Consider the following 16,268-nt stretch of genomic DNA (forward strand, 5'->3'; position numbering starts at 1 on the left):
GTGGCTCCTCAGAGCAAGGGAGGTAGTCGGGTCGAGGGAACCTGGCTCTGCCCAGGTGCCACTGCCCAAACCCCTGGGCCCCATCCATGGCAAGAGAGACCTTCCCCTTCACCTCCTCCATGCTGCGCTCTCTCCGCCTGCAGCAGGAGTGGCTGGAATGGGAGGACCGGCGGCGGGCGGCTGCCCAGCAGTGCCGGAGCCGCAGGTGCCCGTCAAGTCCCCGGGCCCGACTCACTAGGCCTCACCGTTCCTGCCGAGACCCAGCTGTCCACCAAGCCCTCTTCTCCGGCAACCTGCAGCAGGTCCAAGCCCTGTTCCAAGATGAAGAGGCCGCCAACATGATTGTGGAGACTGTGAGCAACCAGCTGGCCTGGTCGGCTGAACAGGGTAGGGGGCACCAGAAGAGGGCAGAAGAGGAGGGAGAAAGAAGGGGAGTGGGTGGGGAAGGGGGAGAGTCTAGGCCCCTCCTTCCCTGCAGACCACAGACTATAGCAGCCCTTTCCACCACCTATCCTAGCTCCCTCCTAAACAGAGATGAGGCAGGGTTAGCAGTCTGTATGTCTTTTAAGAATTAAAAGTTGACCGGGCACAGTGGCTCACGCCTGTAATCCCAGCACTTTGGGAGGCCAAGGCAGGCGGATCACGAAGTCAGAAGTTTGAGACCAGCCTGACCAACATGGTAAAACCCCATCTCTACTAAAAATAGAAAAATTAGCCGGGCATGGTGGTGCGCACCTGTAATCCCAGCTACTCAGCAGCTGAGGCAGAAGAATCACTTAAACCCGGGAGGCGGAGCTTGCAGTGAGCCAAGATAGCGCCACTGCATTCCAGCCTGGGGGACAGAGCGAGACCCTGCCTAAAAAAAAAAAAAAAAGAGACAAGGTCTCACTATGTTGCCCAGGCTCATCTCGAACTCCTGAGGTCAAGTGATCATCCCGCCTTGGCCTCCCAAAGTGCTAGGATTACAGGTGTGAGCCACCACCCCAGGCCCCAAGGTGAACAAGCCTTTGACACTATTAGCCATTCAAAGACGCTGAGATTTCCTTAATGGGAGTCACTCTACTTAGTTGGCCCCTGTGGTTTTATACAGCAATTAATTTTTTTATGACACATACTATGTTTTGTTACAGATTGATAAGCTGTATTAAAAGGCTGTTCCAATTTATTCTTCCACTTCAGGACTTGAATAAGCCCCCTTCCACAGGTACAGCCTGGCAGTGTTTGTGCTCAGCAAACCATGCAGAGGGAAGGCCAGTGTCAGCTGTCAGCTGGAACCAGCATCCCCACTCCCTGCCCTGCCCTGTCTTATACACCACCTCCCAAAACTATTTGCTCTCCCTAGGGTTCTGGGTGCTGACCCCCAAGACCAAGCAGACGGCACCCCTCGCCATCGCTACAGCCCGAGGCTACACAGACTGTGCTCGACACCTGATCCGGCAGGGAGCTGAGCTGGATGCCCGTGTCGGGGGTCGCGCTGCCTTGCATGAGGCCTGTGCCCGAGCCCAGTTTGACTGTGTGCGGCTGCTGCTGACCTTCGGAGCCAAGGCTAATGTGCTGACTGAGGAGGGCACGACTCCTTTGCACCTCTGCACGATCCCCGAGTCCTTGCAGTAGGTGCCTGGGGGCTGAGACAGTTTGGGGAGAAATGTGTGTGTGTGTCTCCAGCTCACAAGGCCAGAAGAGGGAACCTGACAACCACATGCAGCTTTGTGGTTCATAAAGCACCGCATATACACATCTTCACAATAACCTGGAGACACCTCATCCTACAGATGAGAAAAATGAAGCTCAGAAAGGCTTAGTAACTTGTCCAAGGTCACATCTGCTAAGCCCAGGAGGCAGAAGCCCTGTTGCTTTTTGGGAAAACTCTGTTCCAACTGCAGTCTCCAATACCCTGTGAATCCTTTGTAGCCAAACCTAGCTGTTTTTTTTTGTTTTTTGAGACGAAGTCTTGCTCTGTTGCCCAGGCTGTAGTGCAGTGGCGTGGTCTCAGCTCACTGCAACCTCTGCCTCCTGGGTTCAAATGCCTCAGCCTCCCAAGTAGCTGGAATTACAGGTGTGTGCCACCACACCTGGCTAGGTTTTGCATTTCTAGTGGAGATGGGGTTTTGCCATGTTGGCCAGGCTGGTCTTGAACTCCTGTCCTCAAGTGATCCACCCACCTTGGCCTCCCAAAGTGCTGGGATTACAGGCGTGAGCCACCATGCCCAGCCCAAATTCCTAGTTGTTTTGAGGTATTAAGAAAGATCTGGCCAGGTGTGGTGGCTCACACCTGTAATTCCAGCTACTAGTAGGTCGAGGCACAAGAATCGCTTGAACCCGGGAGGCAGAGGTTGCAGTGAGCCGAGATTCTGCCACTGCACTCCAGCGAGACTGTCTTAAAAAAAAAAAAAAAAAAAAAAAAGCCGGGCGCCATGGCTCACGCCTGTAATCCCAGCACTTTGGGAGGCTGAGGCGGGTGGATCACGAGTTCAGGAGTTCAAGACCAGCCTGGCCAACATAGTGAAACCCCGTCTCTATTAAAAATACAAAAAATTAGCCAGGCTGGGCATGGTGGCTGGCGCCTGTAATCCTAGCTACTCGGGAGGCTGAGGCAGGAGAATCGCTTGAACCCGGGATGCAGAGGTTGCAGTGAACCGAGATTGTGCCACTACACACTAGCCCCTGCAACAGTTGAGACTCCATCTCAAAAAAAAAAAGACCTATGGGCCAGATTCAGTGGCTCACACCTGTAATCCCAACACTTTTGGAGGCGGAGGCAGGAGGATTGCTTGAGTCCAGGAGTTTGAGAATAGTTTGGGCAACGTAAGTGAGGTTTTTGTCTCTACTAAAAATAAAAACTAGCCGGGTATGGTGGCATGAGCCTCTAGTCCTAGCTACTCGGGAGGCTGAGGCAGGATGATCTTTTGAGCTCAGAAGTTCAAGACCAGACTGGGAAACATAGTGAGACCCTGTCTCTACAAAAAATAAAATTAGCCGGGCATGGTGGTGTGCATTGTAGTCCCAGCTACTCAGGAAAAGCATTTGAGCCCAAGAGGTCTAGGCTTCAGTGAGCTATGATCATGCTGCCACTGTACTCCAACCTGGACAACAGGGCGGGACCCTGTCTTAAAAAAAAGTGGGAAGAGAGGTATGGGGGTGCCTCACACCGATGTTAGGAAACACAGGGCTAGATTTTTTTTTTGGAGACAGGGTCTCACTCTGTTGCCCAGGCTGGAGTGCAGTGGCACAATCATGACTCACTTGCAGCCTCGATCTCCTGGGCTCAAGTGATCCTCCTGCCTCAGCTTCCAGGGTAGCCGGAATCACAGGCCAGTGCTACCACACCTGGCTATTTTTTTTTTTTTTTTTTTTGAGACGGAGTCTTGCTCTGTCTCCCAGGCTGGAGTGTAGTGGCCCGATCTCGGCTCACTGCAAGCTCCGCCTCCCGGGTTCCCGCCATTCTCCTGCCTGAGCCTCCCGAGTAACTGGGACTACAGGCTCCCGCCAACACGCCCGGCTAATTTTTTTTTTCTGTATTTTTAGTAGAGATGGGGTTTCACTGTGTTAGCCAGGATGGTCTTGATCTCCTGACCTCGTGATCCACCCGCCTCGGCCTCCCAAAGTGCTGGGATTACAGGCGTGAGCCACCGCGCCCGGCCCAACTGGCTATTTTTTAAAAAGTATTATTTTTAGTAGAGACATAGACTCTCTATGTGGCCCAGGCTGGTCTCCGACTCCTGAGCTCAGGCAATCCTCCTGCCCCAGCCTCCCAAAGTGTTGGGATTATAGGCATGAACCAATACACCAACCCTCCCACTTTTTTTAAGGTTGGCAGTTTCTTGGAGTCCCTGCATGAGGGTATTTGCACTTTCACAATCAGGTCAACAGACAGGGTGGCAGGTAAGGATTCAAGGGCTTCTGGAAGACTCTCCACTGCCCACAAGCTGGGGACCTCTCCCCACTAGATCTAGATGAAGTCCAAGAAGTGGTCCACATTTGCCAGCCCTTTCTTGGGTTCTTACAGGCATGTGGTGTGCCTTCCAACAGACTTCATCTTTCTAAGTAAGATGAGAATCCCCACTTACTGGAACCCTACTGAGCGAGCTTTGGAGTGTTAGTTAAATTTAGTATTTGGAAGCCGGGCGTGGTGACTAACACCTGTAATCCCAGCACTTTGGGAGGCTGAGGCAGGCAGATCACGAGGTCAGGAGATCAAGACCATCCTGGCCAACATGGTGAAACCCTGTCTCTACTAAAAATACAAAAATTAGCCAGGCATGGCAGCGCATGCCTGCAGTCCCAGCTACTCAGGAGGCTGAGGCAGAAGAATTGCTTCAACCCAGGAGGCAGAGACTGCAGTGAGCCAAGATGGAGCTACTGCACTCCAGCCTGGGCGACAGAGCAAGACTCTGCCTCAAAAAAAAAAAAAAAAGATTGGGCATGGTGGCTCACACCTGTAATCCCAGCACTTTGGGAGGCCGAGGTGGGTGGATCACGAGGTCAGGAGATCGAGACCATCCTGGCTAACACGGTGAAACCCCATCTCTACTAAAAAAATACAAAAAAATTAGCCGGGCATGGTGATGGGTGCCTGTAGTCCCAGCTACTTGGGAGGCTGAGGCAGGAGAATGGCAGGAACCCGGGAGGCGGAACTTGCAGTGAGCAGAGATCGCACCACTGCACTCCAGCCTGGGCAACAGAATGAGACTCCATCTAAAAAAAAAAAAAAAAAAAAAAAAAAAAATTAGTATTTGGAAACAAAAATTAGCCCCACAATTAGAATTTACCAAGGAGATAATTCAGTAGCTTATGGAAGACTGGCTGCTACTCACATCTTGGCTACAGAGCAAAGAACCTACCTGGAATATGTGAGCAAGGATTTTGGCCATTTTGGGAAAGGGTATTTGATTATCAGAGTTTCATCGAGGATGGTGGATCTGCTCCTGTTTCCAGCAGCTGCCGTTCTGGCTTTTTAATTATAAGTTACTGTTAGTTTGGTTTCATCATTATTAATTTAGTTTGTTGCATGTTTGGTTTACCCTGCAGTATGTAAGGATGCATGTTTGCCACAACAGTGTTCTGGCCTATAATTTTCCCTGGAACTGGGAAACATGCACTCTTTAAAACCTGTTTTTGTTTTTGTTTTTCCTTTGGTTTTGTTTGTTTTCCCTAGGGGAAAGTGGAGGAGGATGGCCCCAAGTGCCTGCCTTTGCTTGAATGATTGTGGCCTGGTTTAGAAGAGTGGTCTTTTAAGTGTGGGGACAGAAAGAAAATATTATAACTTGTATTTATTTTTTTTTGGTGCATACTGTTTAATTTTCTATGCTTCATAACGTACACAGAAGTGGGTTTTCAAAATTTTGTGCTATCAAAATGTTAGGAGATAAGGCCGGGTGTGGTGGCTCACACCTGTAATCCCAGCACTTTGGGAGGCCAAGGCAGGAGGCTTGCTTGAGCCCAGGGGTTTGAGACCAGCTGGGGCAAATGGTAAGACCCTGTCTCTATAAAAAAAAATTTAAAAAATTAGCCAGGTGTGGTGCTGCCCACCTGTGGTCCCAGCTACTTGGGAGGCAGAGGCAGGAGGATTGCTTGAGCTTGGGAGGTCCAGGCTACATGAGCTGTAATCACACCACTGCACTTCAGCCTGGGCCACAGAGAGAGACCCTGTCTCCAAAAAAAAAAAAAAAAAAGGAGACAACTGACAACTGAATGATTCAGAACCAGACCTTGGGGTGGAGACAGAGTAGACTGTGGGAGGGACTGTCTGAGGCAGTGAGTACTATTTCTGGTGCAGCCACTAACTTGCTGTGTGTCCTTGGCTGCACAAATCACTCCTGGGCTTAAGTTTTTCATATGAAAACTGAAGATGCTTCTGGTAGCTCTCAGGACCTTCCAATTCTGTTGTCTGTAGCGGGGCTTGTATGATTCTCATGGAGGACACCAGGTAGGACCTCAAGCTGAGAGGGGTGGAAAGGCAAGGGAGTGTCACAGCAAGCTGAAGGGGTCCCAAGCCTTCAGGATTTTCCTCAGGACCTTGCTCTCTTGTCCCCAGGTGCGCCAAGTTGCTGCTGGAAGCAGGAGCGACGGTGAACCTGGCAGCAGGCGAGAGCCAGGAGACGCCCCTGCACGTGGCGGCGGCGCGCGGCCTGGAGCAACATGTGGCTCTGTACCTGGAGCATGGCGCCGACGTGGGCCTGCGCACCAGCCAGGGCGAGACTGCGCTGAACACGGCGTGCGCTGGGGCCGAGGGCCCAGGTAGCTGCAGGCGACACCAGGCTGCGGCGCGCCGGCTCCTGGAGGCTGGAGCTGATGCCCGGGCGGCCGGGCGCAAGCGCCACACGCCGCTGCACAACGCTTGTGCCAACGGCTGCGGGGGCCTGGCCGAGCTGCTGCTGCGTTACGGGGCCCGCGCTGAGGTCCCCAATGGGGCGGGCCACACGCCCATGGACTGTGCGCTGCAGGCCGTCCAGGACTCCCCCAACTGGGAGCCTGAAGTCCTTTTCGCCGCACTGCTGGACTACGGGGCGCAGCCAGTGCGCCCTGAGGTGCGCTGGGAGGCCCTGACATAGGAGGCTCCTGTGTGGGGGAGCCCGCGGCTGGAACTGCTCCGCTTCTGGGGAAGACAGAGGGTCCAAGAGACTGAAAGCCTGCCCTCAGTGGCCAGGGGGCTGTCCCCAGCTTGGGAGGGGGAGAGAGGATTCTGGGAGAGAGAGTCCAAGGGAGGGAAGAGCCCCAGAGGAAAACTGGGGCCAAAAGGTTGGAGCATACTTGAGGGTGGGGTAGACAGAGGCACAAAAAAGGGAAGAGAGACTCAGACCTTAGCCCCCCAGATTAGGCTAGGATTGGCCATGTGGGTGAGGCAAGACTTGGGTCTGCCCTCGGGTGGGGGAGGCATGTGCCCAAGACCCTCTTTTGACCCCTAGATGCTGAAACACTGCGCCAACTTCCCTCGGGCCCTGGAAGTCCTGCTTAATGCCTATCCTTGTGTCCCATCCTGTGAGACCTGGGTGGAGGCGGTGCTCCCAGAGCTGTGGAAGGTATGTTTGCCTCAGGGCCGAGATGGGGAGGAGGGACGAGCCACAGGCCTATTCCTTCAGGACCAGCCTCATGGAGGGAGCAGCAGGAGGGCCCCTGGGTAGAGAGGATGGGTAGAGTGGCACCCCTGGGTTTCAGGGTACCCCCTCCCCCGGTACCCCAGGCTGACCCCTAACTCCACACACCTCTCCTGCCTCCCTCACTTGCATCAGCACAGACATTTATCTGGCATCTCTTAACTTGGTGGGCACTGTGCTAGGCTCTCTGGGGTGGGAGTGGTATAGACATAGTGGAGACCCTTCCCTGAAGTGGAGCCCCAGCCCGCATTATCACTGCAGGGCCTCTATGGTTCTGAATCTGAGTCCTTTGAGACACATGAAACACCCAGGTGGGTGCATGCTGCAAAATCCCAGGACCCCCACCGCTGGGTTGCCCCCAGATGGTAGGGCAAGGGTCATCTGACCTTCTTTCACTCCTGGCCTAGGAGCACGAAGCCTTCTACAGCTCGGCCCTGTGCATGGTGAACCAGCCAAGGCAGCTGCAGCACCTGGCCCGACTAGCTGTGCGCGCTCGGTTGGGAAGCCGCTGCCGGCAGGGTGCCACCCGGCTGCCACTGCCCCCGCTCCTCAGGGACTACCTGCTGCTGCGTGTGGAGGGGTGCATCCAGTGAACCCCATGTCAGGCTGTCCCATGGTGTGTTCTGCCCCTCCCACCTGTCCCCGCCTCCAACTGCGGAGGACCAGTTCCTGGCCCTCTTTTCTTTTCTTTTTGAGACCTAGTCTCACTCTGTTGCCCAGGCTGGAGTGCAGTGGCGCTATCTCGGCTCACTGCAACTTCTACCACCTAGGTTCAAGCGATTCTTGTGCCCCAAACTTCCGAGTAGCTGGGACTACAGGCATGAGTCACCACACCTGGCTGATTTTGTATTTTTAGTAGAGACAGGGTCTCACCATGTTGGCCAGGCTGGTCTCACACTGACCTCAGGTGATCCACCCGCCTTGGCCTCCCAAAGTGTTGGGATTACAGGCATGAGCCACTGCGCCTGGTTGCCTGCCCCTCTTTTCTGTACTCCACGTGCTGTCCTGGTCCACCTCACTCCTCCATGGGCTTCTTGAGACACCTGCTGACCTCTAGCCGGACCTGAGCTTCAGACCCTCTCTCCAGCAGGAAGGGCTGCAGACTCGGCCTGTTCCCAGACTCGGCCTTCACCTCCCTTCTCCTCCTGTGTTTAAGTGGATGGCCCCTCTATCCATCCAGGTCCCATGCCAAGAACCAGTGATTCTAGTGGCCCACCACCTCCCTCTCCTGCCACCCTTATACCTGTTCAGCCTCCTAAAGAGGGACAAACTCTGTCTCTGCGTGCACTGGCTTGCCTGCCCTGCCTTTGTCACTCCAAGGGAGATCTTGAGACCCATGCCCTGAATTGGTGCTGGAATGGTCTTTGGGAGTCAAACTCTGATCATGCCCTCCAGTGGCTCCTCTCACACTAAAATCAAAACTCTTTAAAACAAGCTGAGTGCAGTGGCTTACACCTGTAATCCCAGCACTTTGGGAGACTGAGGCGGGAGGATCACCTGAGGTCAGGAGTTTGAGACCAACCTGACCAACATGGTAAAACCCTGTCTCTACTAAAAATACAAAAAATTAGGCCAGGCGCAGTGGTTCATGCCTGTAATCCCAGCACTTTGGGAGGCCGAGGTGGGCGGATCACGAGGTCAGGAGTTCTAGACCAGCCTGGCCAACATGGTGAAACCCTGTCTCTACTAAAAATACAAAAATTAGCCGGGCATAGTGGCGGATGCCTGTAATCTCAGCTACTCAGGAGGTTGAAGCAGGAGAATCACTTGAACCTGGGAGGTGGAGGTTGCAATGAGCCAAGATCGCGCACCGCTGTACTCCAGCCTGGGCAACAGAGCGGGACTCCGTCTTAAAAAAAAAAAAAAAAAAAAGTCTTCCGTGAGGAGCGCAGAGGAGGTCGCGGCGCCGGAGGCCCCAGAAGGCTCGAAGGCACCGCGGGCTGGGGTCGGTGGCTTAGGGAGCCCGTCTGGCCATGGTGGCCGCGGGTGGTGGTTGGCGCGGCTGCGCTGCGGCCCGGGGCAGTGCGGACTGGGACAGTCGCGGCGCTGACGCCCGCGGGCCCCAGCTGCAGATATGAAGCGGAGCCGCTGCCGCGACCGACCGCAGCCGCCGCCGCCCGACCGCCGGGAGGATGGAGTTCAGCGGGCAGCGGAGCTGTCTCAGTCTTTGCCGCCGCGCCGGCGAGCGCCGCCCGGGAGGCAGCGGCTGGAGGAGCGGACGGGCCCCGCGGGGCCCGAGGGCAAGGAGCAGCCGCCTGCCTTGGCCTCCCAAAGTGCCGAGATTGCAGCCTCTGCCCGGCTGCCACCCCGTCTGGGAAGTGAGGAGCGTCTCTGCCTGGCCGCCCATCGTCTGGGATGTGAGGAGCCCCTCTGCCTGGCTGCCCAGTCTGGAAAGTGAGGAGCGTCTCCGCCCGGCCGCCATCCCATCTAGGAAGTGAGGAGCGCCTCTTCCCAGCCGCCATCACATCTAGGAAGTGAGGAGCGTCTCTGCCCGGCCGCCCATCGTCTGAGATGTGGGGAGCGCCTCTGCCCCGCCGCCCCATCTGGGATGTGAGGAGCGCCTCTGCCCGGCCGAGACCCCGTCTGGGAGGTGAGGAGCGTCTCTGCACGGCCGCCCCGTCTGAGAAGTGAGGAGACCCTCTGCCTGGCAACCACCCCGTCTGAGAAGTGAGGAGCCTCTCCGCCCGGCAGCCACCCCATCTGGGAAGTGAGGAGCGTCTCCGCCGGGCAGCCACCCCATCCGGGAGGGAGGTGGGGGGGGGGTCAGCCCCCCGCCCGGCCAGCCGCCCCATCCGGGAGGGAGGTGGGGGGTCAGCCCCCCCGCCCGGCCAGCCGTGCCATCCGGGAGGGAGGTGGGGGGGTCAGCCCCCCGCCTGGCCAGCCGTGCCGTCCGGGAGGGAGGTGGGGGGGTCAGCCCCCCGCCCGGCCAGCCGCCCCGTCCGGGAGGTGAGGGGCGCCTCTGCCCGGCCGCCCCTACTGGGAAGTGAGGAGCCCCTCAGCCCGGCCAGCCACCCCGTCCGCGAGGGAGATGGGGGGGTCAGCCCCCCCACCCGGCCAGCCGCCCCGTCCGGGAGGGAGGTAGGGGGGTCAGCCCCCCGCCTGGCCAGCCGCCCCGTCCGGGAGGGAGGTGTGGGGGGTCAGCCCTCCGCCCGGCCAGCCGCCCCGTCTGGGAGGTGAGGGGCGCCTCTGCCCAGCCGCCCCTACTGGGAAGTGAGGAGCCCCTCTGCCCGGCCAGCCGCCCTGTCCGGGAGGGAGGTGGGGGGTCAGCCCCCCGCCCGGCCAGCCGCCCTGTCCGGGAGGGAGGTGGGGGGGTCAGCCCCCCGCCCGGCCAGCCGCCCTGTCCGGGAGGGAGGTGGGGGGTCAGCCCCCCGCCCGGCCAGCCGCCCTGTCCGGGAGGGAGGTGGGGGGGGGTCGGCCCCCCTGCCTGGCCAGCCGCCCCGTCCGGGAGGTGAGGGGCGCCTCTGCCCGGCCGCCCCTACTGGGAAGTGAGGAGCCCCTCTGCCCGGCCACCACCCCGTCTGGGAGGTGTGCCCAACAGCTCATTGAGAACGGGCCAGGATGACAATGGCGGCTTTGTGGAATAGAAAGGCGGGAAAGGTGGGGAAAAGATTGAGAAATCGGATGGTTGCCGTGTCTGTGTAGAAAGAAGTAGACATGGGAGACTTTTCATTTTGTTCTGCACTAAGAAAAATTCCTCTGCCTTGGGATCCTGTTGATCTGTGACCTTACCCCCAACCCTGTGCTCTCTGAAACATGTGCTGTGTCCACTCAGGGTTAAAAAAAAAAAAAAAAAAAAAAAAGCCAAGCAAGCGTGGTGGCGCATACCTGTAGTCCCAGCTACTTAGGAGGCTGAGGCAGGAGAATTGCTTGAACCCGGGAGGCGGAGGTTGCAGTGAGCCAAGACCACGCTATTGCATTCCAGCCTGGGTGACAAGAGCAAAACTCTGTCTCAAAAAACAAAACAAAACAAACGAGAAAACAACTCAGTAGAACAGAGCCTCTAGCCTCTGCCAAATTATCTGGCCTCTTGACTTCCCTTCTTCCTTCCAAGGTTCATCTCCAGCCTTAGTAAACAAGTCACCAGTTGCTGGATGTGACCTGCTCCTCTTTGCTTTCAGGTGTTTGCATGTGTTATTCCTACCGCTTGGAATACTCTTCCACATTTTTTGGCCTGGTCAAGGCTGATCTGGCCCTCAGGACTCAGTTCCAATAGCACTATCTCTGCAGAGGCTTCCTTGGTACTTATTTAAGTGCCTGTGGTTGTCTCAACTAGGCTGAGACTGGAACTATATTCCTTGAACAGGTATTTTAGTAAATGACTGCGGAAGGAGGAACATCCATGAGCCTGGGGTCCATCTATGTGCTCCCTCCGTCCCCAAGTGATGAATGGTGTCTTAAACAGTGGTCACCACATACAGTCTCTGAGGGCCCAGCCACCAACTGCCCGAATTCCCCAACTTCTTCCTCTTGTCCCAGAGTCAAAAGTACCACAATACAGCTTTTGGAGGAAGCTTTTCAAAGCAAGCCAGTTTTTATGAGTGCAAATAAATGATTAGTCCATGGAACCAAAGTATGGATGTTGTTTGACTTAAATGGGACAGAGGTCCCCATCATTCCATGTTCATTCCCCACCCCCTGGTGCTGTTCTGTGGTTTCCAAGTTTTCTGCATTGAGCAACTGTTACAAGAACAACACAAGGGCCAGGTGCCGTGTAGTCCCACCTACAAGGGAGGCTGAGGCAGGAGGATCACTGGACCCCAGGAGTTTGAGACCAGTCTGGGCAAGAGTGAGACACTGTCCCTAAAACAATTTTTTTTTGAGACAGGGGCTCTCTGTGTTGCCTAGGTTGGAGTGTGGTGGCGCGATCACTGCTCATAGCAGCCTCAACCTTCCACACTCAAGCAATACTCCTCCCAAGTAGGTGGTACTACAGGCATGCACCACAACGGGTCTCACTATGTTGCTGAGGCTGGGGAAAAAAAAAGGCCAGGCACGGTGGCTCATGCCTGTAATCCCAGCACTTTGGGAGGCCAAGGGGGGCAGATCACTTGAGTCCTAGAGTTTGAGACCAGCCTGGGCAACATAACAAGATCCTGTCTCTAGAAATTAAAAAAAAAGAAAACACAAAATACTTAGCCAGGCGTGCTGGTGCATATGATGGTTCCAGCTACTCAGGAGGCTGAGGTGGTGGGAGGATCGCTTGAGTCCAGCAAGCAGAGGTCGCAGAGAGCTGAGGTCACAGCAAGCTGAGATTGTGCCACTGCACTCCAGCCTGGGCGACAGAGTGAGACCCCGTCTCAAAAAAAAATAAAAAAATGAATAAAAATAACAGAAACACAAAGCCTCTCATAGACCCAGAACCTATAGTACCTATCACAGGAGGGAACTGGGGAGGAGCTCCCAGCAGTCTTCTCCTGAGTCAGCAGTCTTTTTGCTGAGGGATCCTAGGGTCTCCAGTCCCAATACCAGTTGGAGTTATACAGTGGAGACAGGGATCCAAAGTCCTGGGGTCTGCCTCCTGCTGCAGCTGCCCAACTTTCCCTCCTCCAGGAGAGTTATATCTTTGGGATTCCATTTCATCAACACAAAGACAGTTTTTTCACCTTGTTATGCAGAATGCAACACCCCCTTTCTGGATGAAAATTTGTGCTTTAGTTTTACAGAGCCAAAAGGCCTGACAGAAGAAAAAGAACTCCTCCCTAGAGAGGGAGGCTGGGAGCCTCACTCTCAGGGGCAATGCTGAACTTTCTACCCCTTTACAGCACGCCGACCACAGCCAGCTCAGCCTTTTCTGATATATTTACAACTACAAAAGATACCGTTAAAAAAGAAAAATACCTGGGTGCAGTGGCTTACGCCTGTAATCCCAGCACTTGGGGAGGCCGAGGCGGGTGGATCGCCTGAGGTCAGGAGTTCAAGACCAGCCTGGCTGACATTGTGAAACCCTTTCTCTACTAAAAATACAAAAAGTAGGCCAGGCGCGATAGCTCACGCCTATAATCCCAGCACTTTCGGAGGCCGAGGCAGGCAGATCACCTGAGGCCAGGAGTTCGAGACCAGCCTGGCCAACATGGTGAAACCCTTCCCTACTAAAAATACAAAAATTAGCCAGGTGTGGTGGCACACACATATACTCCCAGCTATTCAGTAGGTTGAGGCAGGAGAATCACTTGAACCTGGGAGGCGGAAGTTGCAGTGAGCTGAGATCTCCCACTGCACTCCAGCCTGGGTGACAGCAAAACTCGTCTCCAAAAAAAAAAAAAAAAAAATCAGGATACAAGGCCAGGTGTGCAAATCCTGTTGGTGGACAAATCGCCTCTTTGGGGGCAATTTGGCCACTTCCTTAAACACTGTTCCCAGTTACACAAAAGGCAGGCTACATACAGGAATATTCCTCTCAGCGTTGCTTGCAACAACTCATGTTGGAGTGGTTAGACAAATCCATATTACCCATGGCAGGAAAGAACTAGGGAGGGATTCCAAGTGACCAGCATGTGTACTGCCTTGGGAAGATCTCCCAGAGTGGTTTTTATTGATTGATTGAAACGGGGTCTTTCTGTATGCCAGGCTGGAGTGCAGTGACGCAATCACAGCTCACTGTAGCCTTGACCTCCTAGGCTCCAATGATTCTCCCACCTCAGCCTCCCAAGTAGCTGGGACTACAGGCACACACCGCCAGGCCTGGCTAATTTTTAAATTTTTTGTAGCGACAGGGTCTCGCAATGTTGCCCATGCTGGTTTCAAACTCCTGGACTCAAGTGATCCTCCCACCTTAGCCTCCCCAAGTGCTGCAATTACACTCTAGAGCCACCATGCTCAGCTGAAGACAATTATTTTCCTTTACATTTTTTTTTATTTTGAGACGGAGTCTCACTCTGTCTCCCAGGTTGGAGCATAGTGGCGCGATCACAGCTCTCTGCAATCTTGACCCTAGGGTCAAGCAATCATCCCACCTCAGCCTCCTGAGTAGCTGGCTCATGGCTCACTGCAGCCTTAACCTCCTAGGGTCAATCATCCCACTTCAGCCTCCTGAGTAGCTGGGACCACAGGCACACGCCACCATGCCCAGCTAATTAATTTTTTTTTAGAGATGGGGGTCTCACCATATTGCCCAGGCTGGTCTTGAACTCCTGGCTCAAGGGATCCTCCTGCCTCAGCCTCCCAAAGTGCTGGGATTACAAGTATGAGCCACTGTGCCCGGCTTTGTGAATGTACTTAATGCCACTGAATTGCAAACTTAAAAATAGTTAAAATGGTTTTAAGTTTTATGTTACGTATATGTATATATTTATCTTTAGAGATAGAGGTCTCCCTGTGTTGCCCAGGCTGGCCTTTAACTCCTGGGCTCAAGTGACACTGCTGAGTCAGCCTTCAGAGTAGCTGGGACTACAGGTGCATGCCACTGTGCCTAGCTATGTTTATTTTACCACAATGAAAGGACTTACAAAAAAGAAGCTAGACACCGAAGAGGATACACAGTTGGATTCCATTTATAGCAAGTACAAAAACAGGAAAAACTAATGTATGGTGACAGACGTCAGAATAGTGATTACTCTTTGGAGGTTAATGGCTAGAAGAAGACATGAAGGGGGAGATTCTGGGGTAATTCTTTCTTTTTTTTTTTTTTCCTGAGACAGAGTCTCGCTCTGTCACCCCAGCTGGCGTGCAGTGGCTCCATCTCAGCTCACTGCAACCTCCGCCTCCCAGGTTCAAGCCATTCTCCTGCCTCAGCCTTCTGAGTAGCCAGGATTACAGGCGTGCGCCACCACGCCCGGCTAATTTTTGTATTTTTAGTAGAGACGGGATTTCACCATGTTACCCAGGCTGGTCTTGAACTCCTGACCTTGTGATCCGCCTGCCTTAGCCTCCTAACGTGTTGGGATTACAGGCGTGAGCCACCGCGCCAGTCCTAATTATCTATTTCTTGATCTAAGTGCTACTTCTGCCAGTGTTCAGTTGGTAGAAGCCACCGAGCTTTTTGCTTATGTTTGCCCCTGTCTGGATTATTTATCCTTTAATCAGTAGTTCTCCAAAACCCCAAACTCCAGCGCTTTTTTTTTTTTTTTTGGAGACAAGGCCTCCCTGTCGGGTGCAATGCAGTGGCTCAGATCATAGCTCACTGCAGCCTCGAACTCCTGAGCTCAAGCGATCCTCCCACCTCTGCCTCCCAAAGCGGTGGGATTACAAGAGTAAGCCACTCCCCCCGGCCACAGTAAGTTTTTAGAAAAAATTTTAATTGCGGCCGAGCGCGGTAGCTCACGCCTGTAATGCCAGCACTTTGGGAGGCCGAGACGGGGGCGGATCACCTGAGGTCGGGAGTTCGAGACCAGCCTGACCAACATGGAGAAACCCTGTCTCTACTAAAATACAAAATTAGCGGGGCGTGGTGGCGCATGCCTGTAATCCCAGCTACTCGGCAGGCTGAGGCAAAAGAATCGCTTGAACCCGGGGGGGCGGAGGTTGCAGTGAGCCGAGATCGCGCCATTGCACTCCAGCCTGGGCAACAAGAGCGGAACTCCCGTCTCAAAAAAGAAAAAATTTTAACTGCAAAAATCTGGATAAGTTCTTGAAAGCTGGACTTTTCCCCCTTTTTGTGTCCTAAGCCTGCGCCGAATCTGTGCCTTCTTTGAAATGCTTTCCCGCCTTCTTTCTCCGGGTCCCACACTACCTGGGGCCGCACTCTTCAAGCACTGGATGCTGACTAACTGGTCTCCTTATCTGTCTTCCCGACTGGCCCAGAGCTGAGTTCTTACTAATCCCCGCTAACCTGGAGTTAGGTGCGCGTTGCAAAGCAGTAACGAATCCAATCAGCCGGGGAGGCAGACAGCAGGGCCGGAAGAACAAAGCTGGAAAGGGAAACGTCGCACCGGCTCTGCCCAGCGGCGCCAGCCCGGGCAACCTTCCGCAGTCGCGAAGCCACGCCCCTTTCCCAAGTACCTCCGCGCTAACTCCTCCCCCCTGGCCCCGCCTCTCACCCTGGATTGCCTAAGGCCCCGCCCACCAGGCGTGGCCCCGCTCTGGGAGGGCCGCAATCCCGCCAACAATGACTCCACCCCTCCTTCCGCTGAGAAACCTGTCCCTTTTATTTAAAGAATACCTTTTACGTCAGCCCGTCTTACGCAGCTTCGCGTCATCAGTGCAAGGCGCGGAGGCGGGACTTCCTGTCCCTGGTAT

General features: G+C 54.7%; 1 protein-coding gene and 1 long non-coding RNA gene across 3 annotated transcripts, besides 1 other annotated feature; one reads left to right on the plus strand and one right to left on the minus strand.

Annotated features, from left to right (window-relative positions):
* ASB16 (ankyrin repeat and SOCS box containing 16) lies at window positions 1–8,381 on the plus strand. The gene is made up of 5 exons (NM_080863.5): window positions 1–387; window positions 1,343–1,610; window positions 6,035–6,527; window positions 6,906–7,019; window positions 7,502–8,381. The coding sequence occupies exons 1-5, from the start codon at window positions 87–89 to the stop codon at window positions 7,685–7,687; spliced, it is 1,362 nt and encodes a 453-aa protein (NP_543139.4). The 5' UTR covers window positions 1–86; the 3' UTR covers window positions 7,688–8,381.
* On the minus strand, window positions 5,270–16,014 carry ASB16-AS1 (ASB16 antisense RNA 1). Of its 2 annotated transcripts, NR_049729.1 has the most exons (4): window positions 15,862–16,014; window positions 12,227–12,390; window positions 10,920–11,017; window positions 5,270–7,113 (listed from the first exon to the last, which is right to left on the minus strand). It is a non-coding gene; the product is annotated as an ASB16 antisense RNA 1 (long non-coding RNA). The 2 variants fall into 2 exon arrangements; NR_049730.1 differs by lacking the exon at window positions 12,227–12,390 and having other exon boundaries at window positions 5,270–5,939.
* Window positions 15,593–16,127: an enhancer, noted in NCBI's record as "H3K27ac hESC enhancer chr17:42263664-42264198 (GRCh37/hg19 assembly coordinates)". NCBI's record gives its function as "activates a minimal SCP1, AML or CMV promoter by ChIP-STARR-seq in primed H9 embryonic stem cells {active_cell/tissue: H9 hESC(primed)}" and the evidence as "EXISTENCE:reporter gene assay evidence [ECO:0000049][PMID:30033119]".

The sequence above is a fragment of the Homo sapiens genome, chromosome 17, assembly GCF_000001405.40.
Source record: "Homo sapiens chromosome 17, GRCh38.p14 Primary Assembly".
NCBI lineage: Eukaryota > Metazoa > Chordata > Mammalia > Primates > Hominidae > Homo > Homo sapiens.